At 46.3% G+C, this 26,580-nt stretch overlaps 1 protein-coding gene across 1 annotated transcript in view; it reads right to left on the bottom strand.

The window, feature by feature from the left end:
* The window catches only part of PTGFRN (prostaglandin F2 receptor inhibitor), an 80,438-nt gene extending 61,630 nt beyond the window's left edge, over positions 1 to 18,808 (bottom strand). The window contains exon 1 of the mRNA NM_020440.4: positions 18,472 to 18,808. Within this exon, the coding sequence (NP_065173.2) occupies positions 18,472 to 18,520 (49 nt within the window). The 5' untranslated portion in view covers positions 18,521 to 18,808. The remainder of the gene's footprint in view (positions 1 to 18,471) is intronic.
* Between the last annotated feature and the right edge of the window lie 7,772 nt (positions 18,809 to 26,580).

Raw genomic sequence — 26,580 nt, 5'->3', positions numbered from 1 at the left:
ATGCTAAAGATCCTGACAAAGGTTTAGAATAAGCATCAGAAGAAATATAATAGGAAACCATCACAAAAGGAACACAAAGGAGAGCTGAGCTGCGGTAAAGATGCCAGGACTTTGCTGGAATCTCAGATGGGCAGACTTTGAGATTTTCCCCAGCAAGATAATAAAGTTCAGGCTTACAAACTACGATTGGTGTGAATTACTGAAATGTAATACAATGTGAGGTCTGGCAAAGAAATATGACAGAGGGTCCCAGGTTGTTAACAAGCTCACTGCTGAAATGCTGACCACCAGAGTCTACCCTGGATTCAGAGCCAAGTAAAGTGAGAATGGCCTGATGGACTGAAAAGGAAGAATGTTCAAAATCAGGGAATCACAATTAGGATGAAGAATAGGTTCAACAGATAGGAGGGAATCTGAAAGGAGTAAAGCAAGGAGGTTGTGGTCACAGAGGGAAATATCAGAATTGACAATCAAAAAGGTGAAAGAATACTAAGTGATGACAAGGCCCAGGTGTGGCCATTAAATCTCACAAAGTCTGTTATTTTTTCCAGGGGCTAAAATTATCATAGCAGGCACTCTCTGAGTCCTCGTTAGCCTGTGCCTGGCTACAGAAACACGAGGAAGGGGCAGTGTGACCAACAGGCCACAGGGGGTAAGAAGGGTGGTCCAGAGACTTAAATCTTGTTTCTAATTGACATTTACATGGCAGTTCTGGCTCTAATGTTATCTATCCTGCCATTTATATCTGGAAATCTTCTTTCAGCCTTCATACGCATGTTCTCCAAATCAAACAAGATTAGAAAGGAGGCGACAAAGACTTTGCATTTCATCAGTACTGACAGGCTCTTCAAAGTCAATGCAACTTTTCTTAGTTTTTGCTGCCAAGACAACCATTACCTCCTGCATCACACCTGTAATCCCAGCACTTTGGAAGGCTGAAGTGGGAAGATGGCTTGAAGCCAATAGTGCAAGACCAGCCTGGGCAACATAGATCTCGTCTCTATAAAAAAAAAAAAAATTTAATTAGCTGGGCATGGTGGCATGTGCCTATGGTCCTAGCTATTTGGGAGGCTGAGGCAGGAAGATGGCTTGAGCCTGGGAAGCAAAGGTTGCAGTGAGTCATGATTGCACCACTGCACTCCAGCCTGGGCAACAGGGAACAGGTCGAGACCCTGTATCAAAAAAAAAAAAAAAAAAAGGTAAGCAAGGCAGAAAGACATACAGTGCCACCAACAAGTGAGGAACAAAAATGCACGGTACTTCTTCAAGACTGGATCATTAACTAACTGAATTCCTTCTTACTAGTAAAGCACTAGATCATATAACTATGACATTGCTTCCAGTTTTGTGGCCTTTGAGAGATCCTGGGAGGCCAGAACCATGTCAAACCTTTAATTCTACATTATGAAATTGTGAGGTTTTGTCACCTGGCTAAGCTGGAACTACATATCCCAGAATCCTCTTATCTGTGTAGTTCCAGGTTAGGGTTGGACAAAATAGAACTTCATGTCAGATTTGGGAGATGGAAGTCAAGCGGCAGCCATTACTTTGGTATATGGCTCGTGGTTAAAGGCAGTGTGGGACAGATGTGAAGGTGCTAGTAGACACCCGTTTGTCCTTGCTCTTTCTGCTTCTGTTTTCTTCCCAAATGCTATTCTTATGGACCAACATGACCCCAAGACCACTAGATGCTTGGCTGCAATCTCGGGGCTAAGTGATTACCCTTCTTCAGAACCCTAAACCAGCCCACTCTGCCTGGTTTCCAGATTCCTCTTCACGCTTCAACTTGTCCACCTGCCAGTGCTTCAAGACAGCTGACTAGTGACTTTTCCTTGATACTTTAACTCTCCTTTTTAGGCCTTCACTTCTCCAACTCCTTCCATAATTGTGTAAGGTCTAATTCCTCTAATACATGTGTTATTCCACAATATTTATAAGGGTTCTGCTTCCCTAATGGAATCCTAACACAGTAAACCAAGTATTGAGTAGACAATTTGCCCTTAAAGACTCAGTAACTGGCAAAAAAAAGACACCTTACATGCATAGCATTGCTTTATAGTTTGCAAATCCTGTTCATATGATTTAATATTCAACCTTGAGAGTATTAAATAAGGAAACTGAGGTTCCGAGAAGTTATGTGACCAAGCGATAATAAAAAAAAGATGCAAAAACCACTTAGAGGCAATCTGTACTGATGATTAACCAAAATAACTCAATAAACATGAAATGACTTAAACAATTCTCTGTCCAAGGACCAGAGATAGAAAAGGCTGAGGCAAGATCTATCCACAAGGTTTATTTTAGCGCATTCTATAAAATTAGCAGCTGCTAGAGGCCCAAGCACCGCTCAGCATCCCTCCCTGCTCAGCCATTTTCAATCCTCTCCACGTTCAAACTGGCCAACATCATCTGCCAAGTTCTGTGTGAACACCTGGTCCTCTTTTTAGCCTCTAGTTTAAGAGAATGGGAGATTCATATTGTGTTTAAACTTGCATATGAGCATAAAAGGCACCTGAGATAATTGGGGAAACTCCCCACCAACCCGACTCCCTTCCTTGGGCAGCTCTGTCCTCTCTCCCGTTATTTGACTGTTCCCTAGATCCACTGTCTGCTCCTCCTTTGCCTCATCCACCCCTCCTCCCCAACAACACTTTAAGCCTGCCCTTCTCATTTGTAGACACAGTGCTAGAAGCCATGGGTGATGAGGGGTCTATGCCGAGCTTCCCTGATGAGGCTCAGTAAGGAGTACAGTGTTGTTTAACAGTTTGGCTTGCAGGGAATTAAATTAAAAAAGACTCTGGGTTCACATGCCCTTTAAGGAACACTTTAACTACAGTCTGATACTTCATTCCTTCATTCAGTATTTTTTTGCTGCACGCCTACTGTGTGCAGAACCACATCATCACGGAAAGTTGATGAGCTAACACCTGGCCAAGCGTCAGAGTCGATAAAGATGAAACAGTATGTTGACTTATAGAAAAGTTGGAAGGAGATGAGTCCCCAATAAGATGAGGACCTTTTAAAACATCAAGTAAATAAAGGAAAGGAGGGACCTCCAGCTTTTTAGGGAAGGCAGAATCAGGAAAAAACAGACAAATTCATCTATGATGTTAGACTTAAGCTCCTTCAGGTGACACACAGGCTCTTTACACTCAGGACTTTCTCTCCAGTCTCAATCCTTTCCCTCTAAATGACCCTACAACTCAACCCTCCACACTAGCTGCAAAAAGTCTTCCTCATTTATTAAAAACCAATATCCTCCTATGAATGGTTTTATCTTTTTTTTTTCTTTTTTTTGAGAGGGAGTCTCTCTCTGTCGCCCAGGCTGGAGTGCAGTGGCACAATCTCAGCTCACTGCAACCTCTGCCTCCTGGGTTCAAGCAATTCTCATGCCTCAACCTCCGAGTAGCTAGGAGTAAATGTATGTGCCACCATGCCCAGCTAATTTTTGTATTTTTAACGAAGACAGGGTTTCACCATGTTGGCCAGGGTGGTCTCGAACTTCTGGCCTCAAGCGATCCGCCCGCCTCAGCCTCCCAAAGTGCTGGGATTACAGGTGTAAGCCACTGCGACAGCTGGTTTATCGCTTTCTCTGTGCTCTTCCCTCTGCCTAAAGTAAACTACCCACCCCTTCTCTGCCAGACAAAAACCTACTCATCATCAAGACTTAATGAGTTCAAATGAGTCCAGCTTGCTGAAGGCTTTCCTGATCCTTCCCCACCTCAGCCCCCAGCTCAGGCAGAGTTTAGAAGGTGCCCACTGCGGGTCTGCTTGCCACCACGATCACCTGGAGCCAACTGCCTGTCAGCCTCCCTGTGAGACTCTGGAGGGACTGCTCATCACCACACCCCCAGCCCAGCAGCATGCCTGCTGATGCAGTGACTGTGATCACTCCTATCTCAATGAGCTTCTGGAATGTTAGGGCCAGAATTGATCTTTGGATCGTCATCCAGGGGCTTAACAAAAAGTACATAATCTCATTAATTTCAGAAACAGCCCTTCATCAGTGAATTTTCAAAAATAGCCCTTCACCAGGCTCAATACAGAAAGCGCAGAGCATGTGGCTGGGGCAACTGTGACACACAGCGTCAATCAAGGGACCAGTTCTCAGCACCTTGGGAAGTGACACAATCTCAGGATTCTAAACCCCAAAACTCACCTCATCAATTTTACTTACACTCTTCTTTGGGGCTAGTAAAAACCAACTATCTGGGTGCTCTGGATCCTTACAAAAGTCCCCAATCCAGACATGGCACTAATGCCTTTAAAACTACATGCAGGTTGGGTGTGGTGGCTCACGCCTGTAATCCCAGCCCTTTGGGAGGCTGAGGCAGGTAGATCACGAGGTCAGGAGTTCAAGACCAGCCTGGCCAAGATGCTGAAACCCCATCTCTACTAGAAATACAAAAATTAGCCGGGTGTGGTGGCAGGCGCCTGTAATCCCAGCTACTCGGCAGGCTGAGGCAGAGAACTGCTTGAACCTGGGAGGCGGAGGTTGCAATGAGCCGAGACTGTGCCACTGCACTCCAGTCTAGGCAAAAGAGTGAGACTCCGTCTCAAAAAAAAAAAAAAAAAAAAAATACATGCACAGGTAGAGACGAGACATAGGTAGTGATATAAACAGGTACAGGGGATCATACTTACCTTTTCTGCAAAAACACCTCTGCCTAAAGTACTCCCAGAATGCTCTCCCTTTTCTTTAATGTTCAGTTTGTTTCCCCTTTCGTTTAACAATCCTTGGATGACACTTCGTCCATGCCACCTCTCTTCCTGTGTGTGTGTCATCCTCCACATTTAGACTGGTTGCTGGAGGAGTCAAAGGACTGTGTCGATCTATGTTTTTAGGTGCCCCCAGATCCAGAATAATGCTCGACATGGGGCAGATAATAAATAGTGGTTATTAACTACCCAGTGAGACCAGGCCCACGCTACAGGCGGCAGTACTACTGCCCCTTTGCTCAGATGTGGCTCAGTGTGGGCTGCTCCCTAGAACAGTGATGACAAGCAGATGATCCATGGTTTGAATGAACCCAGCCACGAGGCACTCGACGCATACACTGGGACTGAAGAAGTCTGCTTCTCTAGACTATGACCAACCAGGACGAAGCCCAAGAAGGGAGCCTATGCCATTCTGGGGTGGAAACGGTTGTATCAATCCTGCAAAGGGAAGGGGTGGAGGCAGTGGAGAAACAATAATGAGAACTCATGAGTCATCTGTCTTCCACCCAAGCTGCCAAGGAAAAAAACGAGAAAATCCACAGGAAGAAGAATGGAGACTTTTCTCACCCCTTCTTTAACATGTATAGATTTCATTTTTTCCTACTCTACCACAAAAACCTGTCTTAGAAATGAAGTCACACGCAATTCTTTCCAAACAAAAGAAGATAAATAAGCACACATAAGAAAGATAGTAAAAAGGACACATAGATATCTTCTGCCCCTGTTATAACTTAACGTCCACAATTTTAAATATATATAATATACACACCTTATAGGCATTTTTCTAAGCACATACATTAATTCAATTATTCAAAGATTCAAGTTCCTACATGCTGGGGTAAGCAAAAACAGACATGATCCTGCTTTCGAGCTGCTTACGGTTGGGTGAGACACACAAATGCTCATCCTAATAAACAGATCATCACAAACCGATGGCTGTGCTCTCAAGGAAGGTGGCTGAGTGACAGCCCATCACCAAGAGCTGACGCAGGCTGGCCCATGCTGTAGGCGGCAGCGCTCCTGGGTCCAACATGTCCTCATTTCACTGAGGAAATGAGGCTTTACTTGAAATCCAAAGAATCAAATAACTGGAAATAATTCCAAGACAAATATATAAACCAAAGAAGGTGTTGTGTGCATCTATCTTCCAGTCGTTTCTAAGGACTGGTGGGAGGGGTACTTGGGAAAACCTCAAGAGGGGTCACCAACACTTGATTATGTGCTCAGTTTTCACACTTCTTTGTCTTGAGGCCCAAATGCCTTAAATGAACATACTGGACAGAAAGCAGAGCTTGCCTCATCACTGCTGTTTTCTAATGACCCAAAGTCACATCCTGCTGCATGATAACTACCTTTCAGCCTGTGGTGTGAGCTAACTCGGTGCTGGAATGTGGGGTCCCTGAGGGTACCACTGGGCAGCATATGCCACCTTGCTACCTCTGTGGCCCTCCCTAGATGGGCTAACAAAGGTACCTTCCCCAATTATTTATGAGCCACGTATGACACTAGGCTTCCTGGGATTCATACTACTGTTTCCGCTGAAACTTGTTTGTGGGATAAATGGTAATGAAAATAGGACTCCGATGAATAGATCACATGATTGCATAAACCTTGTTTCCATAGAAAACCAACTAAAATTCCCATCATTGCTCTAAAACTTATGTGTCTCTTATCAGGTCATAGTCCTTTGAAGAAATGCTCTGATAAACTATCTGGGGGGAACATCAGTAATTGTTTTGTGAGTTGTTTTTCTTATAAGAAACAACCAAAAATAGGATTATGGCCTGACTTATCACCTTAATTTAGCAGGCTGGCTTCCTGTAAGCTCCAGCGGACCTCTCCAGCCTCACACATGCCGGCTCTTAGCTGCTCTGTGGGCGCTGGTGATGCTGCCAACATCTTTCAGGGTGACTTTGCTCACATTCTTCTCCACCAACCTCCCTTCCCCAGAGTTTAATATCCACGTCCCCTAAGGTCTCTATTACTTTTCCAGCTGAAGTTAGCTAATCCCCAAATGGGACACCAACCTGTACACATTTATCTACTCCCACCTCTGAGAAACCGTACTGCCCACTTTCATACCTGAAATGCATTTCCTCCTGCTCCTGGCTCCCGACTCTCCAGCCCCACCTGCTCCATGGAACTTTTCAATAATAACAGCCCCTGGCCTCAGTTTCATCTCTATAATTGTGACAGTCCCATATGTACAGTGATCTAATAACTCATTCACCCAAGCCTTTAAAAAACACCTATGATCCATTCTGCCATTCACTTATAACTGGTTCCATTCCATTTTGGACTTTGTAATCTTGCACAATGTCAGAAACAGAGTCAATATTCCCTTAATGCTGCGGAAGTACTAAAAAAAAAAAAAGATTACAAAGCAAAGTAGCAATGTCCTGTATTGAAAAGTAAAGTTGGACACAAATAATTTATTCCTTCAAGGGTCATAACTGTTTTTACTTTGACTAATGTGACTCAGTACCCTGTGCTGTGTCATGCCGTGAGTTACACACTATGGTCTTAACTTGGAACTTACTGTAAGGATTTCTCAATCAAAGATGATGGACTGTAATGTCTTCTAATAAATAAGAAAACGTTTCAATGCGCCAGCTTTCAGAAAATGGGAAAACGAATAGTTGTACCAAAAATGTGTGTGTTTTTTAACTCCTCGCTGCAACATAAGCAAAGTAGTGTACACTGGACAGACACCAAATCAGCTAATATTCGCTTCTCAGTACATCCTAAAGGGATAAGCCTCAAAAATATCTGCATCCAAAACCACTGAGATGAAATCACTAGGCTTAGCAGCAGCATCAACAGTAGCACCTCAAAGTAGCCAGGGAGGGCCAGACAGCAGCCAAGATGCAGTAAGGACTGAGCTCATACACATAAGTTTCTTCTATAACACATAGACTTTCTAGAATGTATCCTTTTAGTAGGTGGTATTTATCCAGCATCATTTTGAACCTTCCTTGTTCAGACCAAAGCAATGAAAAGGAAGAAATTCCCCAAATACTAGGGGCACATTTTTTAGCCAGCTGAGTCTATTGGTTGGAGATGTCAGAATTTCAACTCTTCGGCTAGACATGGTAGCTCACACCTGTAATCCCAGCACTTTGGGAGGCTGAGGCAGGTGGATCACTTGAGGCCAGGAGTTCGAGACCAGCCTAGCCAACATGGTGAAGCCCCGTCTCTACTAGAAATACAAAAATTAGCCCGGTGTAGTGGCACATCCCTGTAATTTCAGCTACTTGGGTGGCCGAGGCATGAGAATTGCTTGAACCCGGGAGGCAGTGGTTGCAATGAGCCAAGATTGCCCCACTGCACTCCAGCCTGGGCAACAGAGCAAGACCCTGCTTCAAAAAAACAAAAGTATTTCAACTCTTCTACCCTTCAGGAAGGGTGTAAAAGCCAAAGTAGTAGCAATATTTATACACATCTCAAGATGTCTGTGTCTCTTCTCACTGTGGTCTGGGGCATACTGGGAAAAGGGCAACCTGTGGAACATCTTCCAGGCTCTTTCCTAGGCTGAAGGGAGAAGACACAAGTCACATTTGTGAGGGCTGAGGCTTGATTAGTCAGCCCCAGCTTACTCATGGCTGATATCCTCAATCAAAACTTGCACACATAAAAGAAAATTGGTAATGATACGAAACAGTCTGTCATCTAGAAATGGCTTATTAGTTTTACTGTTTCTGTGACTTCCCCCAGGGGTCTGCCTGAAAGCCCAGTTAGCCTGGTGGTGGGGACACTTCTGTACCCTAGAGAACCACAGGGAAAGATCCTTAGTGTGCAGGAAATGGGCTGCAATCAGGCAGCAGTCGCCTACACAAGGACCGAACAATTTCCAGAGCCCTCAGAGGCACCAACCCACTGTTGTGAAGAGGCACCAGCCAGGTGAGAGACAACAGGCACAGGCTGCAGGATTATAAGGAGTGCTCAGAAGATGGGCAGGAAGCCAGGGCTGGGCCAAGAGGCCACATGGCCAACAGCAGGGGTCAGCATGAACTCAAAGAATTCTGGAGATGGAAGGGGAGACCTTTGGGATCAGCTAGCCCAACCCTTATTTTACAGGGGCTGAGAGCTGTTCAGCAACTTGTCCAAGGTCACAAAACTAGTGAGTAGAAGGACAAGGGCCAAAATCCAAGCCTCCTGTCTTGAAAGACAAGGAAACAAATGTTATCACAATTTAGCTAATTATATCAATTCCTTTCAGTGTTTTCAAAGATATATTTTGACTAACATGGAAAGACAGACTAGTGTACTGTGGTTATGAACCCACACTCTGGAGCCAGACTACCTGGGTTTGAATCCCAAGTCTGCCACTTACACTGTGACCCTGAGCAAGTGACTTCACCTCTGTGACTCAGTTTGCTCATCTATTAAACAGGGGTAACAACAGTGCCTACTCTCATGGGGCTATGAAGCCTCCTAAATAAGTTCATCTATGGAAAGTGCATTAGCTGGTTCCGGCTGCTGGGGAGGCTGAGGTGGGAGGATCACTTCAGCCAGGGAGGTTGAGGCTGCAGTGGGCTATGACTGCAACATTACACTCCAGCCTGGGTGACAGAGACCCCCTCTCTTTAAAAAAAAGAAAAGAAAAGAAAAGCGTAGTGCCTGGCACAAAATAAATGCTACAAAAAAGGTAGACAGGAATTTATTGGGAAGGAAAGAACCCTCATATTGGTTTCTCTTGCATCGCACCTGGTCCCCAACCCCCAATTCATCTTAGTCATAGGTTACTGCCTTTTCCCCACAACGCCTAGGGCTAATGCTTCTAAGTCACACCCCTCTCTCCTAATCCATTCAGGCCCAACCCAGTCAGATATTAGCTCAACCAGCCAAAATGGTGGAAGAGGCAGAAACTCTGAATAAATGCTTATGTCACTACTAGCCATCCAGCCTATCTCCCCTTAGATCTCTGCTGCCAAAACCCTGAACTCAGAAGTTACCTCTCTTGATCCTCACCTCCTACTTTCCTAGACTACCCATTCCCTTGCACCTCAGAATCTGCTTTTATGCCATCATCATGCCCTCCAGGCCCTCAAACCTTCTGCAGGTGCATCAAGCCTGGAAGCCCCACTCACCTGCCTATCCCACGTGTACTCCTTGGCTAATCTTTCCTGTGATGTTCTCATCAGTTCCCTCGGTTCCTTTATCACTCATCCTTCCACTCTCATTCCATGGAGAGACCACATGATGCTGTCCCTCCTAGGCTGCCAAACTTGGTGGGATAAAGCCACGAAACTAGGCCCACTGCCTTTACTACAGACCTATGCTATCCTCCATCCTTCACTGCTAACTGAATGACTGTCACATTCCCGTGGGGTCCAGCCCCAGCCCACTCTCCTCCAGCTCAGACTCTGACCATGGCTTTGCCTCAGTCCCACTGAGAAAGCCCAGACTACCAAGTAATTTGTATGCCAAACCTCCTCCAGACATGCTTCTTAAACTTTAGCATGCATTTGAATCCCCTGCGGATCTTGTTCAAATACAAACTTTGATTCACAAGTTTGGACCTGAGATTCCCCCAGGTGCTGCCAATGCTGGTGGTCCACAGAACACAGTTGGGGTAGCAGAGTTCTAGGAACTTACATACACTAATGTTTGCATTCTTCTAAATATATTGTTTTTAATCTTCATGGAAAAACCTCCAAGAGAGGTATTATTCCCATTTCACAGAGACAGAAAGTGAGATTCAAAGAGGTTAGAAAACCTGTCCAAGGTTCACACTGAGGGAAGACAGGATTCAAATGAAAGGCTGATTCTGAAGCCTGAATCCTATTTTTTCCTCTTTTAATTGGGAGATGAAGTAAGGCTGGAAGGGTATAAAGAACAGAAGTAGATTTTAAAAACACACATGTAATGGTTTATTTGTAATACAAACTATTAAAATCTTCTTAGCTAATGTGAATAAGAGAAAGATGGATTATAAAATGCAAGAGTCCCTGTGCTAGAGATTCTGCCTAACAGCCAAAGACCTAAAAGCTATCAGAGAGTAAGTTAATTCCACCAATCAACACAGAAGAAGACATCCAGAGGGACACAGAGGAAACTTTATATGTGTGCAGATAAAGAAAGGGAACATACAGGCCGGGCGCAGTGGCTAACGATATTTTGGGAGGCTGAGGCAGGAGGATCACTTGAGGCCAGGAGTTTGAGACCAGTCCGAGAAACATAGCAAGACCCTGCCTCTAGGAAAAAGATAAAAAATTAACCAGGCCTGGTTGTGCAGTCCTGGCTACTCAGGAGGCTGAGGTGGGAGGACTGCTTGAGCCCAGGAGTTTCATGCTGCAATGAGCCGTGATTGCACCACTGTAATCCAGCCAGGGTGATAGCGTGAGACCCTGTCCTAAAAAGAGAGAGACAGGGAACAAGGGAACATATAGAAAACCTCTAACTAGCATGTCTGGGGAAGCTTTGGGGCTACTCTTAGGGCTGAAAAGTCTGAGATCACTGCAGAGACTGCATGCCATATCAAACTGCTCTCTCCATGCTCTCCTCTCCCTCTCCCTTCCCTCCTCTCTGGCTCTTCAAGGCTAGGGCTTCTATTTGCACCCCAACCCCCCTGTGCCACCTTCTCTGGAGTCCACACCCAGTAGTCATGCCTGCTCACTGCTCTTCAGCCTGTCCTTTGCCACCAGAGTCTCCCAGCTGGCCTGTGGGCCTGCTTAGAGACGCCTGGATCCTGTTTAAGTTGATCTGGTTCTGCCGTGCCCTGAGCCACTACCCTCACAGTGGTCTTCTGCTCCACACCACTTGAAAAGGTGGGCGATCGTTTCTGACTCAGAGTTCCTTCCCCACCCCACCCACTTCTCAAGTTCTGTGATTTCCCTTCCTCCTTCACTGGGCAGACTTCACAGTGCCCATATCCAAGGGCTTCTCTGTCTTTATCCTTCCAGTTCTGTAGCAGCATGTGACCAATCCCTCTTTAACAAGTCCACTCACACCCATCTCTGCTTGGCTTCCGACAGCGTGCTCTCCCAGTACTTCTTCCGTTCCCTGACTACTCCTAGAACTCTCCCTTTCATTTCCTGTCTCCTCACTGCAGGCATTTCCAAGAACCTGCCCTTGACCCTCATCTCAATCGTCCACTTTCTGACATCTAGTGCATTTTGTCCAACTCTTTGAGGGCAGATCTGAGTCTGCTCTGCTCATACAGCAATCCTCAGAACAATGCCCGGCGTGTAATAGTAGGCGCTTGCTCAATATTTGCTGAATAAATGAGCTGCTAGCCGTGTTACTGAGCTTCTCACCTTGCATCTTCAAACAGCTCATTCCAAAGCTAGGGCTAAAGGGCTGTAGTTCACCAAGTGAAGGAGAGAACTGCCATCCTTCGTCAAATCATAGCACACACAGGAAATGACAGTATCTGTACAGCTCTCTGGGTACGCAGGCCTTTGGATTTAGAGGCAGCTCCTGCCCTGTGGGTATCAGTATCATGACAACCCACCTGAAATCCATGTGAGTCCCTTACTGAGGCCCATAAGCTGGGGAGTTCTGTCTAGTCCAGCTCTAAAGAAGAGCAAGGAAGAGCCATTATCAGAATATTCTTGGCTTGGAGTCACTTTTAAGCTCCAAGAAGTAACTCATCTGTCTGCCCACTATCTCTATTTCATTAGGATTCCAAGGTAGCACCCACTCTGAAATGTGCCCGGAACCCTTAGGCACAATTCCACTCTTCGCTATTCTAAGCCAAATTCATCCTAGACAGAGCAACAGTAGCCACGGGTTCTTCTCCACTCCTATGAAATATCCCAAGTGAGGTAAATATTTTCACATTCCAGCTGCTTGTAAAGGTGTGAAACAGGATGCAATTAAGGTCCCAGAACATTTTACTTAAACTTGAATCATGCTGCTTAGTGACACAATACAGAGTATTGTGGAGAAATCAGCCTTCAAAGAACACAAGCGAATGCACAGAGCCATGATCTCCAGCCTACTGGAAACGCATATTGCTGGGACACGACAGTGTTAACTTCTGGGTCTAATTCTGTTGCTTCCCAAAGACTACAGTTGGTGTGGGGAGAAATAGTCCAAGATCGAAAAAACCACTGACTGTGCCAACTGCAGCACTTCACCTTTTCCAGAAGATAAATTATGAAGAATTTTTGCCAGTTCAAGTTATTTTCCCAAAGCAGAGTCAAATGACCCTTGCAACCCTGCCTTTAAGAAACCAATGCAATTAAACAAAACAGCTATGAACTGCCTGGACAGCATCCTTCCAACTTCATTTGATAAAGTGAGACGCAGACACACATCGACAGACAAGCACACACCTTATTTAACTGCCAGACGCAGTGCCAATATGAAAATGTACATTCAATCTACGGGGGGAAAATCAGCTCAGCAGCTCATCGCTAAAACAAAACAGCCACATAAATGCCGACTAGCCTGCTGCCTTGTAAGGAATGATCACTGACAACTAGAGTTCCTATTCAGCAGGCTAATAAGAATAATTATAGCCAGGGCAGGCATTAATCAGCTTGGCAGATACAGGAATTCTGTTAACAAGGCTAAAATAAGTGCCAAGGAATCTCTGAAGGCCACAGCACTTCAAAGACTGTTAAAGCTGGATGGATTCACTAGGGTTCCTCCCACTGGCCTTCCTCCTCCTTCAGTGCTTTCCAGAGGCAGTTGCATTTCGGCCCGTCCTCAGAGCCGGCATGGCCACCTGCTAGGGTTGCAGAGATGCCACACCTCTGAGGTGCATGCTGGCACTGCCCTTCCCTTCAGGAAGTGTACCTGGGCTGCACTAACCCTGGATCCTCCTATTTTTAAATGCACTTTCACTTTCAAACCACTATCATCTTTCTTCACCTAAGCTAATCTCAAGCAATACGCAGCATAAGGTTTAGCGAACATTAGTAAACTTTTCCTTAGCAGAGACAGAATGGAGTCCTGAGATCAGATCCTAGGTCTGCTAGGAAGAATCTGTATGTCTCTAGACAAGTTAACTAACTTTTCTGGGCATCAGTTTCCTTATCTGTAATAAAGACAAAATAGTGACTTTCTCAAAGTATTGTTGTGAGGAATAAATACCAGAATGTACGTCAGAGCCTGACGCTTGATATGCAATCGAGAAATAGTAGCTATTATTAGTCTGTGCCTATTAGGTGCAGAGCCTTGTACAGAAGCTATGAGGAAAAAAAAACAAAATACTCAGTATGCAGAGACACACACACGTTAGGCAGGAGTGGCTGTGCCTGGGCAGGAGGGTGGACACATTTTTTTCCTTTTTTTTTTTTGAGACAGGGTCTCGCTTTGTTACCCAAGCTGGAGTGCAGTGGTGCGATCACGGTCCCCTACAGCCTTGACCTCCCAGACTCAAGTGATCCTCCCCACTCAGCCTCCCAAGTAGCTGGAACCACAGGCACATGCCACCATACCCGGCTAACTTTTCTTATTTTTTAGTAGAGATGGGGGTCTCACTATGTTGCACAGGCCGGTCTCGATCTCCTGATCTCAAGCAATCCTCCCACCTTGGCCTCCCAAAGTGCTGGGATTGCAGGCATGAGCTGACCTGTTTAGCCCAGATTTTTCTTTTGACCTTATATCCTTTGTAAGTAACACAGAGACTGTTAGCTGTTCCCTCAAAATCTGTCTTTCCCTTCTTCCATAGTAGCTGGCACATGGCTTCCCAGCTTTCCTTACAGCTAGTGTGGCATGGGCCCAAAGTCTCTCCAATAGAACGTGTGCAGAAATGATGTGTGCCACTTTCAAGTCTGACCCACAAAGACTCCAAATATTCTACTCTACGCTCTTTCCTCCTTTGTAGGGGCTGGAATGGTGATGACGACTACCAAAGTGATCTTAGAAACTGTGAGTTGAAGACAGCAGAACTGCCACCAGCTGGGGAGCCAGAATGACTGTGTAAAGCAGGGTTCCCACCCAACCCTTTCCTCTGAAGCATCTCCCTCGCATTGTTATATAAGACACATCTATTGTCTGAACCACTATGCTTTGAGTTTGTTAGAGCAGTTTAGCCTACCTGATTAATACAAAGTCCTTTTATATCATTTGAATTTTAAAATACAGATGTAATGCTTTTGACACTTAAAAAAGTATCTCAATAGATTTGCAAAAATAAAGACATAAAGAGAATGTGTTAATCCCACCCTACAATCTCCATGCCTTCTACTCTCCAATTTATGTTGCACTAGTTGAGGGTTTATCCTCCTCAACACATTACCCTGTCCTGTTAATCTCGCCCTACAAACTTTTAATGGCTACCCATTCCCACAGATAAAATGACATATGTAAGTATTCAGTCAGCCAATATGTATCAAACAACCAGTATGAGTTATATATCCTATTCGTAATAGGGACATTGTAGTGAACAAAATCAACGTGGCCCCTGCCCCCAGGGGAAACAATCAGAGTAGGGAACAATTACATACAATGAAGGAAATATATGCTCTGATGACAGGGCACAGACTGGCTGGCAGCACCCAGAGCACCAACAAATCTACCCCTCCCAGTCCAGACTCCTTAGCACAGCATGCAAAACCTACAGGATCTATCCCAAACCCACCTTTCCTCCCCCATTATTTCCTCCTCCCCCAAATAATTGCACCCCCATTATTTCCTCCTCCTCCCAGCTCCAGCTACAGGGAACTTACGTGCCATTTCTCAATGAGCCATGTACTTTCACTCATCCACACTTTAGGCTTTTCCCCAGAGCCCAGAATGCTCTTCTATCCTTTCTTTCAAAATTCTAATTATCCTCAAGGCTCAACTCAAATGTCACTTCTTCAGCAAAACCAGCCCCAACCCCCAAGTCAAAATTAATCATCCCCTTCCTTGTTTCCCACACTTGGTTTCCATGTCAGGTATTTCATTCAGTCCTGTGGTTAGCTATTTTATTCTCTGTCTACTCACACCCACCAGCCGCTCAGGGAGATGCTGTGTCTTTGTCATTTGTCTGGGACTCCCAGTATTGAACACACAGTTGCACACAGAGTGGCCACTCAAGAAATGCCACATTGAGTGGATGGGCAAGACAGGTCAGACATAGGCAATGGATGTGAAACCTGCTCTATGTGGCTGGGTGGGTTCTGGTGTGATCATGGTAGGTAGGCTTAGGAAGGCTTCATGGAGAAAGTGAGTTTCAAGGGAAAAAGGAAATATTAATACGCAGGCAAGAGGTGAGAAGTAGAAGGGGCCAGAAGGTTTAATATAGTCTACATAAAGGAGAGCAAACAGGTTAGTTGGAACGAAGTGTCTGAGCCAGAGAAGACCAGAGGGGAGGGACACACAAGGGGCAACATCTCCTTGGAGGAAACTCATAAGGACACAGTGAGAACAGGTGGGAGCCCCAAAAATGATCATTTAGGAAAAGGATGAGCTTAAAAGGGAGGCTGGAGGAAATAATCAACCAGGAAGACACCAACTGTGTGGGAAACAATCAGGACCTGGGCTAAGACAGTAGCCGTAGAAACAGGAAGGAAAGAAAGAAGCTGGAGTCTGTGGTACGGGGAGAGCCAAGAATTGAGAGACTACGTGAATATGGAGGTCAAAAAGAGCAGCGATACCACGATTATACCCAGGTTACACCCCAGGAGGAAAGATGATCTTGTTTATCAACATATTACATTTCAGGGATCAGTACAGTGCCAGAGCAGTGTAACACAGCGAGACCTTCCCAGAGGTCAGGCTGAAGCCACACCGAGTGAGATTCTGTGACAGCAGAGTTATCAGGAGGGTCATCAATGGTTCAGAGAACTGTTAGGTGAAAAGGTACTGGCTGGTGACACCACAGAAATTCCCTGTGTAATTCATAGGAGGCATCCAGCCAGGACAGGATATGCTGGAGTACAATCAAGATTTCCCCAAGCTGTGCTTTCCCCACTTCTATTTTGTTTTTGTCAGTCTCTCTTTGCCCCCTCCCCTCTTCTCCCTTCATTATTACTCAAGGGCATTGTTTTCAAAGTTCTACCTCATCCCACCCTCATAACTGGTACCCAGGTTGTTCAGAGAACTGCACAGCTCTAGGGGGAGTTATTCACACAGACTACAAAGTGAACAGCAGCTCCCGAAGTTGTACAGTGCACCATCTGTGCAAACCTAGGCCATGGCCCTGCTTGACCCAGACACATAAAGTCAATTAATGTGTGTGGACTATAACAGCAGTGCGCCACTAACATACAACTTACAAGGGTCCCAGAGTGAAAAGTAAAGATTAAAAGCACTACCACCGGGTGTGGTGGAGCATGCCTGTAATTCCAGCACTTCAGGAGACTGAGGTGGGAGAATGACTTGAGCCCAGGAGTTTGAGGCTTCAGTGAGCTGTGGTTGTGCCATTGCACTCCAGACTGGGTGAAAGACTGAGGCTTTGTTTCAAAAATAAAAATAAAGCACTAGGATCAGGGACTATAGAAAAGATGCCATAAAACTAAGTGGAAGATCTGGAAGCTTTCTGCACATGGGCTGAAGCTGAAGCAATGTGGCTGGACGAGCTCTCTGAGGGAGTCAGTTCAGAAAATCCCTTCAAGGTGAAGGAAGAAAACACAGCAGCCAGCAAGGCTGGTTCATCAGCAGCAGGAGTCATGGGGGTTACAGCAGTGTGGGCCCCGGTGTCCCCAGCAGGGGAGTAGCTATAGAAGGCCTCCTCTGGAACCCTCTGACCATAAGTGCAGAGTAATCATTTGCCCTGTGTGCAGCTGGGACCTGAATGGCACGGACACCGCACATCATGCGCTCTGTGAAAGACTCAGAGCCGCCTTCTCTAGGGGCTTGGAAGAGAACCCCAGGCCAGGTCACAGGAATCATCTTGTCCTGGTTGACACTGACAACAAGGATCCAAGAATATCAAAACATTTAAGAGTCGGCCCTGGGGTACCATGGTGGGCACTTAATAAACATATTTCCGTGGCTGGCTAGGATCACCATGTGGATCTACGTGAAGATGGTGTCTGTGTATGGAGTGAATGGAAAATGGAGAGGGAAAAAACCCACAAAAGATTCCTTGGGTGGGGGGAGGGCGCTGGGCCAAAACCTCACGGGGCACCCAGGGTTTCCGGAGGGTGGAAGACGAGGGGATAGTAAGGGAGGGAAAGTAACAGGTAGAAAAAGTTGGAGAAGCCAGGCTTTTAGGTCTTTGTGTATAAATACGCAGCTAGGCAGCTTCAAGAAAAGCTAAAAGAAAAGACTGAGGCAGAAGATCTAGCCACGACGAAAATGACGGCAGGACTCGCCCGCCGATTTCCATTGTAACGCTCCGGGCCACCCTGTGACCTTCGTGGAAGGAAGTTGGAGGATTCTCTCGCTTCCCTGGAAAGGCAACTCCGCGCGGGTTGGGTGAAGAGCGACCCGGCCGGCGGCGGCTATGGCGGGGCATATCAAAGGCTCACATTTCCGCTCTCGAGCCGAGGACCCGGGCCGGGACCGCAGCACCTTCCGGGCCGGGAGTTCAAGGTGAGCCGGGCTCCCGGCGGCCAACAGGTAGGGAGACCTGGGGGAAAGACGGCCCCGGGCCACTCCCCCCGGCACATGTTGGGGGCGAGGCTCGGCCTGGCGGAGCGGCCACTTGCACCCCGCGCGCGGGGCCCGAGCGGATTCGCGCCAGGCTCCGGGCGGCCCCGCGGCCGCTCCCCGCCGGGCCGAACAACCCGCGCACCCCGGCCGGGTTTCCCGGGAGCAGCCCGGGCACCCTCGGCGCCCCAGGCCGCGCGCTGCAGCCGCGCCCCGCCGAGCCCTCCAGGGCCTCGCCAGTCCCCGTGTGCCCCGCTGAGCCCCGCGCACACTCACCCAACGACAGGAGCGCCAGCAGCAGCGGCCTCGAGGCCAGGCGCCCCATGCTCGCCCGGCGGGAGCGACTCTCCCCCTCCTCCTCCTTCCCCGCCGCCTCTCCTCCTCCTCCTCTTCCAGCTCCGGCTGCTCCAGAGTCGGCGCTCCTCCGCCTGGGCCGCGCGCCTGCTCCGCTCTCCTCGCGAGCCGATAAATCCCAGCGCTGGGGCGTACGTGCGCCCCTGGCTCCGCTCGCTCCCTCCCGCCTCCTTCCCTCCCTCCTCCAGCCGGCCGGGCCCGGGAGCCGGCCCCGCCGATCCGAGTGTGCAGCCCCGACCGCTTCCCGAAAGCAGAAGGGAAGAACCGCAGCGCCCGCCCGCGCCTCCCATCCGGCGCTTTGCCAGCAACAAACACAAACTTTCCCAAGCCCCTCCCCGCTCCAGGTAACGGAGGAAGAGCCGGGGCCACCCGCTTAAAGGCGAGGAGGCGTCGGAGCCCACCCTGCCATCCCCTCTGGGCCCCCACCCCACGAGAAACTTTCCTCCGACCTTTAAAAGTTGGCCTGGGAAAGACTCGTCTGGAAATCCCATCGCTTTAGCCCTATCCCGGGACACCCCGCGTTCCATCACGCTGGAGTCACCCACGCGTGTCTAGTCTATCCTCAGCCAACTCCCCGCTCGTTCGGCCTCTCGTCCTGAGCTAAACACCCCACCAACCAGCCGCTTGGCCTATGCCAAAAATTATGCAGATAGGAGCGAAGGAGCTGAAAGGACTTTTAAAGGCCACGGATTCCAACCTCTACCATACAGAGGCCTTAAGTGTTTCGGTGAGGTGCCCAAGGATTCACAGGGAAGGGGCAAAATCAGAACCCCGCTCTCCTGACTCTGCCCACTCCCCGGTGGCTAGGGTGGGCCTGTCTCCTTCCTTACCCAGCTCCCTCCCTCTCCTCGGCGCCTGTGGCACTGATTAGAACAGCACCCCACAAAGACACCCATTTAAAAAACAAACAAAACCCAAGTGTATTAATAGCTATAGTACTTCATATAGAATGTACTCTTAAGACTTAATATTTATTGCTCTAAGTGGACACCACTGATTGCCAATAAAGACTCATTTTTCCCCCTACAATAGAGTTTTGTGCTTTTGATTTGAATACAAAAGGCCCGACTTGGTTGGGAGAAATGGAGCATTCCTTGCTTGAAACTTAGCAAGCATGATTCAAACACGCAAGGAGCAGCACTGGTGCCCACTGCCCGTCACTGGGCTTTCATTCACATGCAAAACGGATCGCAGATGCTTATGCGGAAACTGCCCACACTGGGGAAGAACACTGCTTTTACTCTCATGCATCCGTCTTTCAACCAACAAATGTTTCTTATTTCCCCACTATCAAATGTGTGATTAGCCAGGTATCTTTGGAAAGAGACTTAAAAATTCATTCCTGGTGGTGCAACGTTATTGTACTTAATGCCACTGAATGGTACACTTAGAAATGTTTAAAATTGCCAGGCCTGGTAACTGGTACTTGTAATGCTAGCTACTCAGAAGGCTGAGGTTGGGGGGGCAGGGGGAGGCGGGGGGCAGGGATGGTGTTGCTTGAGGCCAGGAGTTTTTATTTGTTTTGTCTTCTTTCTTTCTTTCATTTTTGAGACAGGGTCTCAAAATGAGGATCTGTCACCCAGGCCGGAGTGCAGTGGTGCGATCAGGGATCACTGCTGCCTTGACCTCCCAGGCTCAAGCAATCCTCCCACCTCCACCTCTCAAGTAGCTGGAACCACAGATGTGTGCCACCACACTCTCGCTAATTGTTTTTATTTTTTGTAGACACTGGAGTCTCCCTATGTTGGCCAGGCGGGTCTCGAGCTCCTGGGCTCAAGCGATTCTCCCGCCTCGGCCTCCCCAAAGACTGGGATTACAGGTCTGAGCCACTGGGCTGGCACTTTTTCTTCTTTTTCTTTTTTCTTTCTTTTTTTTTTTTATTTGAGGCTAGAAGTTTGAGACCACTCGGGCAACATTGTGAGACACCGTCTCTAAAAAAAAATTTTTAAGGTTAAAATGGTAAATTTTGTGCTATGTACATTTTACACAATAATTTTTTTAAAATTTATTTCTGCCGCCAAGCCTTTCCTGGTTCTGTTCATACACACTGTAATTCCTTTCTCTTCCCCATCCCAATTCTTCCCTAGAATCTCGCAGGGAAGTTTCCCAATTTCATTCAATCAACCTTGAATTCAAGCCTAATGTTAGGCCTTGGAAGGTAGTGGAGCTTCAGAGAAATGTGAGGCCTGGCACCTTCAGAAGCTCAGATTTCAGCTCATCCTCCATCTTTCCTTTTCTTAACCACCCAGAACGCTTAATGTTTGAACCACACATTGTGGCACTTGGTCACATTCAGTTTAGCAAAATGTATACACTACCCCCATCTCTGTCTAATAATGCATGGGCCTAAGAGGCTGTCACATTTTCACCTTGTATCCCACCTTATGGCAGAGTAGATGTTTTAAAAATTCTTTTGTTTAATAAACAATGTGTGTCAGGGACTGTGCCTAGCACATGGTAGGTCCCAATGTATATTTATAGAGTGAATTAATGGCAGACACTGGGCTAGATCCTGGGGGTACAGGGATGAAGCAGACAGTTCTTGCCCTTGAGGAGTCGACATTTTGTGCATTGTGATTGCATATGCAAGGTAGAGTTGTGACACCACAAGGGAGCGGCCAGTCCAGGAGGAGGCTGTCAGAGAAAGCTTCACAGAGGGGATGACTATGCAACGAGTCTTGAAAAATTGGTAGGTCTTTAGCTGTGGAGTGTAAGGATAAGCTTACAATAGATGTTGTGTATTTAATATGATAGAGATTCTTCTCACCTCACCCACCCCCAGGTATTATTAAATTAATGGTGTATCTTACAATCATGGAAATAACAGTGGTTAACCATTGAAATGATGAGAATAAATAAAATTGTCTAGGTAAGGCAGGTAGAATGAGGACTGAAGTGGGTAGCCTGCTGGTGGCTGGCAGTTAAATGTCATGGGAGTTAACCAAAGAGCCACTTTTGTAGCAAAAAATAAGCATAAATTAATAAGTCTAGACTGTTGGTTATAACCACCACACCCTTTGCACCTTCCTGACTACCAATGGATAAAGGAAGAAACACAGCAGACTGGCACAATTTGTTAATTCATGACTCTGGAATCTGATGATGCTTTTACTATGAAAGATATTTATTTACCAGAGTGAGTAACCTTCTATACAGGTAAGGCTTTTGCCCCAACCAGTTGTTCTCCTATCTTAGTCTATAGGCTTGCCTGGGGCAGGAAGACTCACTCTCCAGCAATTCTAATTGATTCACGCCCACCCCCAAGGAGAGTACCGACATGGGTTTCTTTTCTCCAATCATAGTGCCCCCAAGGGGCACTGGTCACAGCAGTCCGACATTATGGTCTTTTGGTCACACATGTCTTTCTGCAGGTGATACCCCTAAAACCTCACAAGAGTCCTCATACTGTTACGCCAAACAAGTTTTCCCTGCTGAGATCAGGCAAAAACATCATCATGTTATTTAACTTTGTGAATGAAAATGTTAAAAGGTTCCCAGTGAATGAAATTGCTGATTGTTCTAAGACTCACCTAGACTTGGAGTTGTTGGCCCTGCCACCTCTGGCAGCCTGTACACGCACACAGTCTCCAAATGACCCTGACCCCTACCTACTTCAGCAGGGGCTCAGGGGAAGGAGTATATTCCATGGCACCGTTTCATTCCACTAATCATTTTCACTCACAGTCTTCCTTGTTCTGTGTCCAGATGTATATTTTCCCAGTTAAAGTTAAACAGAGATTACTAAACAAAAAGAAATTTAGGATTATATTATAGAATTAGAAAATGAAATTAAAAGTTAGAAAGGGAGGGGTGGGAAGAGGAGGCCTTTATTTCCCCACGAGTGAGAGTCCTGCAATACTGGTGAGATTAGTGGGGAAGCTGTAGAATGCTCATGTGACAAGTTTGAAAACAGCAAGGGACCTCATCTGTTTGGTATGGGCTAAGCAGGGTCCTGCCTGAGGGCTGGTCCTGCTCGTCACCACCCAACTATCAATTCTCCCCATCTTTTCTTCAGCCCTAAAAGACTGAAGTGGGACATGGTGGAGAAAGTGTTCTTAAATGACTTAGAACTGTTCCAGATTCCACCTCCACCAGGCCAAAAGTGCCTCCCTGGGAAGCTACCCCACATAGCATCACGCCTGCAGGAACACTGGGGTGGAGAAGTGTGAGGAGAAAATAAGGAATTGGATGGAGGTGAGCCTTTGGCAATAAAAGCTCTCCCCAAGACTGAGGCTATTTCCTATGTTACGAGCAGACAGGGCCCTTGCCCTGGAGGGGCTTATCATCTAATTTAATGCATGAAAAACCTGGAATACAGTGAAGGACGGGGAGGAGATGGAAACCACAAGAGCAAAGGAATTGAAAGAAAGGTAAATGGATAAGAGAGACACAAGCCATTATGTGTTGTATTCTGCAAATATGCCATCATCTGGGCTGAAAGTATCTCTTAAATGAATGGAGACAGCAGTCCCTTGTGCAAAAGAGGGGCTAACACATTAGAAATAGTTGCAGGCACTATGGATGTTGGAGTAAGTTCTTTACCTAAGGTCATGGCTGCCAAGTAGGATGGTGCCCAAGGGTGCCCCATCGAGCCAACATTGTGCCCTGTCTCTGACCTGCTATGCCCAGGAGAGGCCTTTATCCCCTCACAGGAAGGGAGTTTATCCCAGTCTTCACACATAAATTGGGAGGGGGAGGGAGGGAGACGAGGATGAAGATGTCCTCTTCCTTTCACCATTTCCCCACTTGCCTTTCTCACCCCACGTGAGCTGCACTTCTGTGTTCAACTAGAATATTATCTTAAGTTCTAAGCATTATATTTTAAAAACAACATTTACAAACTAAAATGCATCCAGAGTAGGGAGGGTTGCTAGCCAAAATACAGAATGCCCAGTAAAATTGGAATTTCAGATAAATAAGCAATATATTTTTAGTATAAGTATGTCCCAAATATTACACAGAGCATACTTAACACTAAAAATGTATTCATTGTTTATCTGAAACTCAAATTCAACTGGGCATTCTATATTTTTATCTGTGAAATCAGGCAACCCTCATCAGGAGAAGAGTTACCTTATATGGAAAGAGGTTCTTCTGGAAGACTTGGAGAAGACAACAGGGAGCTCTGAGGAGTTGTCTTCAGTTGTTTTTGAAGTGTTGCACTTTAAGGGAGGAGTAGACTTTGATTCGAAGTCTTACTCTGAGTCACTGTGTAAAAATTGCTAAGAGAAAAAATTGGCCTAGTTTGTGATAACCACTTAGCTCAATGATGAGGAGAGTTAAATTATACAGTGGTATCCTCTCCTCTCGAGGTAAAATGTTTACCTCCAAGGCATTAAGGCCCCTCTAAGGGGACATTAGGTGGAGCCATGGACAAACTGACCTTGGAGGAAATCCTTTCCAATCTCAAGATTTCGAGATTTACCTAAATCCAGCCAATTCTCTTTTCTAGTCCATCTTCCAAAGTTCAGTCTTTGTCCTTGCTGCACTTCTCTTTCTCTAACTTAGGGCTGAGCCATAGGTGTGCTCTGCAGCACTAGAGAACAGAGAAACTCATAGACAGATGACATGGCTTTATTATGAAAAACTGGGATTACAACTCCTGCTCCCTGTGTACTCTCCACTGGAGAGGACTCACAGATCGATTGTTCTAAAACGGAGCCATCATTTTGGTAGACATGGCTCCATTTTTTATCTACTTTATAACTCATAATCCCCTTCAGCCAGTCACTTGTTGCCCAGATACATTTTGCAACATTTTGCAACTTTGTCTATCTTGGGGGATGTACATGGAATGGCATTTTGCACAGTCAGCCATGTCATGGGTTCTTTAATGAATGGTTGTTCATCCACCTGCAGCAGAAGCAGGTTTGTTGCACCTGCTTTAATATTTTTTCCAGCTTAAAATTATTGTATCCATGCTTTATGATATAAACTTTATGAGGTTTCGATCACCCATTGACCTCTGGGTTGGAAGGCAAAGTTACTTTCTGAGGAGAATCTAGGGCGCCCTCCCCATTAAAACACCGAAGGTCCACTTCTGAGTCACAGCTGGCTGTCCTGATGTGGCCCCACCTAGAAAAGTCATCATCTAGATGAGGATTTCAAACGTACTGCCCCTCAATATTTTTTTAAATGCTCAGCTGGGAAAAAATAGTATTTATGGAAGATTATTGAAGTAAATGCAGTCTGTACATTTTTCTAGACACCCAAAGATCTACCCCTAAGTTATGAATTAAGTAGAACATCAGTAAGCTTAGTACCTGGATATACCATATTGGCACCCTCATAAAGTTGCTTTTACTGAATTGCATTTTGTCATGATACCATCAGCCTATATTGAGGGATGTCCTAAGAAACAGCTTTGTGCACTTTGTCATTTTGTTTCCCAGAAGGACAGGTTTACAGATGCTCTTCGTTAAATCAGGCAGCAGCCTCTGCTTAGGATGCATGGAGGAATTTTACTCTCATCTCAGAACCACAAATAGTTGTGCTTTTCCTTAGTGACTAGTTTCTTTTTTCGTATGGAATCTGTAAATATTGTAACTGATAGTATTTTCCTTTTCATGGTAGTGATTGGGAAGGTTATGTTCAATTCTATGACCTCCCTCTAGCAAATGAATAAAACTTTTTTTTTTTTTTGAGACAGAGTCTTGTACTGTCACCCAAGTTGGACTGGAGTGCAGTAGTACGATCACAGCTCACTGCAGCCTCAACCTCCTGGGCTCAAGTGATCTTCCCACCTTAGCCTCCCAAGTAGCTAAGACTACAGACATGCACCACCATGCTCAGTTAATTTTTAAAAAAATTTTTTTGTAGAGACAGGGTCTCCCTGTATTGCCCAGGCTGGTCTTGAACTTGGGCTTCAAGCAATTCTCCTGCCTCAGCCTCCCAAAGTGTTGTGATTACAGGCATGAGCCACAGTGCCAAGCCTTGAAGAGGACTTATAGCATGAGTTTTGCATAACCTCTAGCATAACCTTCTAGCTCCTAGTTTTGCATAACTCTAGTTTTGCATAACCTTCTAACTCCTCCTTACCTTGCCATCATTATTTTCCCTTTCCCTCATTTACTGTTTTTTCATTTTCATTTCTTTTATTATGTTCATGCAGTTGCACAATGCAGCAACTCCTTCTTACTGTAAAATTCTAGTCCACTCCTCCTGCCCTTCAACAGACATTTTAAATTCTAACTCCTCATTTGCCGATTAAATGCAATGAGGTAATAATCACAATGAGCTCTGCTTCCAGGGAAAGACTGGAATGTGATGAGGCTGTGTCAGCCGCCCTAGAACTCAAGGCGGAGTGTGATGAGAAAGGGCACTGCCATCCACTAGAGTCACAGGAGCTCCTGAAAGGATGTTGTTTCCAAGAGCAGCAGATAGTTGACTCTCCTAACCCTAGAAAACTGCACTGCTCATCTGTCTGCACTGAGTTAGCAAATATTAGGGTTCATTTGCTTTCTCTAAGCACACAGTGGTTGAAGGCTGGAGTGGCCTGCGTGTCCAGGGCAGATGAATGGGAGTGTGCCCGATTCTATGCAGTCAACAGCTCAGGTGGTATGGTCCAGCCGGCACCAAGCCGCTTATGGCTCCTGTGTACTCTGCCATCTCCTGCTGTCCCCTCCCTCAGAAATGCGTTTCACATGTCACATGGCTACTCCTGTAGGTTGGGTTCCCTTGAAAGCAAAGCGTGAGACACTGATTTGGCTGTGAGTTCTTTATCTGGGAAGTTATCTCAAAAAGCAGTGTTGAGGGAATGGGAGAGCAAGTCAGGGAACAAGAGAAAGTCAATAAATATGTGTTATTGAGGTAAGCACAGCTGTGAACAAACTGTGTAGAATGTGCCTTTGAACTGTCCCTCAGGGGACAAGAGGCTCAGGTATTTACTCCCTGATTCTCCTGCCTCAACAGCTGAGCTTGGCCCCTACGGCATTCACTCCTCCTTGTCTCCCGTCTGTACCTGTCTGAGTCTAGAGCCCTGAAGCAAACAAGTGGAGAGACAGATATGTGTGAGGCGGGCCACTCCAGCAT

This window comes from Homo sapiens, chromosome 1 (assembly GCF_000001405.40).
Source record: "Homo sapiens chromosome 1, GRCh38.p14 Primary Assembly".
Taxonomy (NCBI): domain Eukaryota; kingdom Metazoa; phylum Chordata; class Mammalia; order Primates; family Hominidae; genus Homo; species Homo sapiens.
This window is presented reverse-complemented; position numbering and strand designations above follow the sequence as displayed.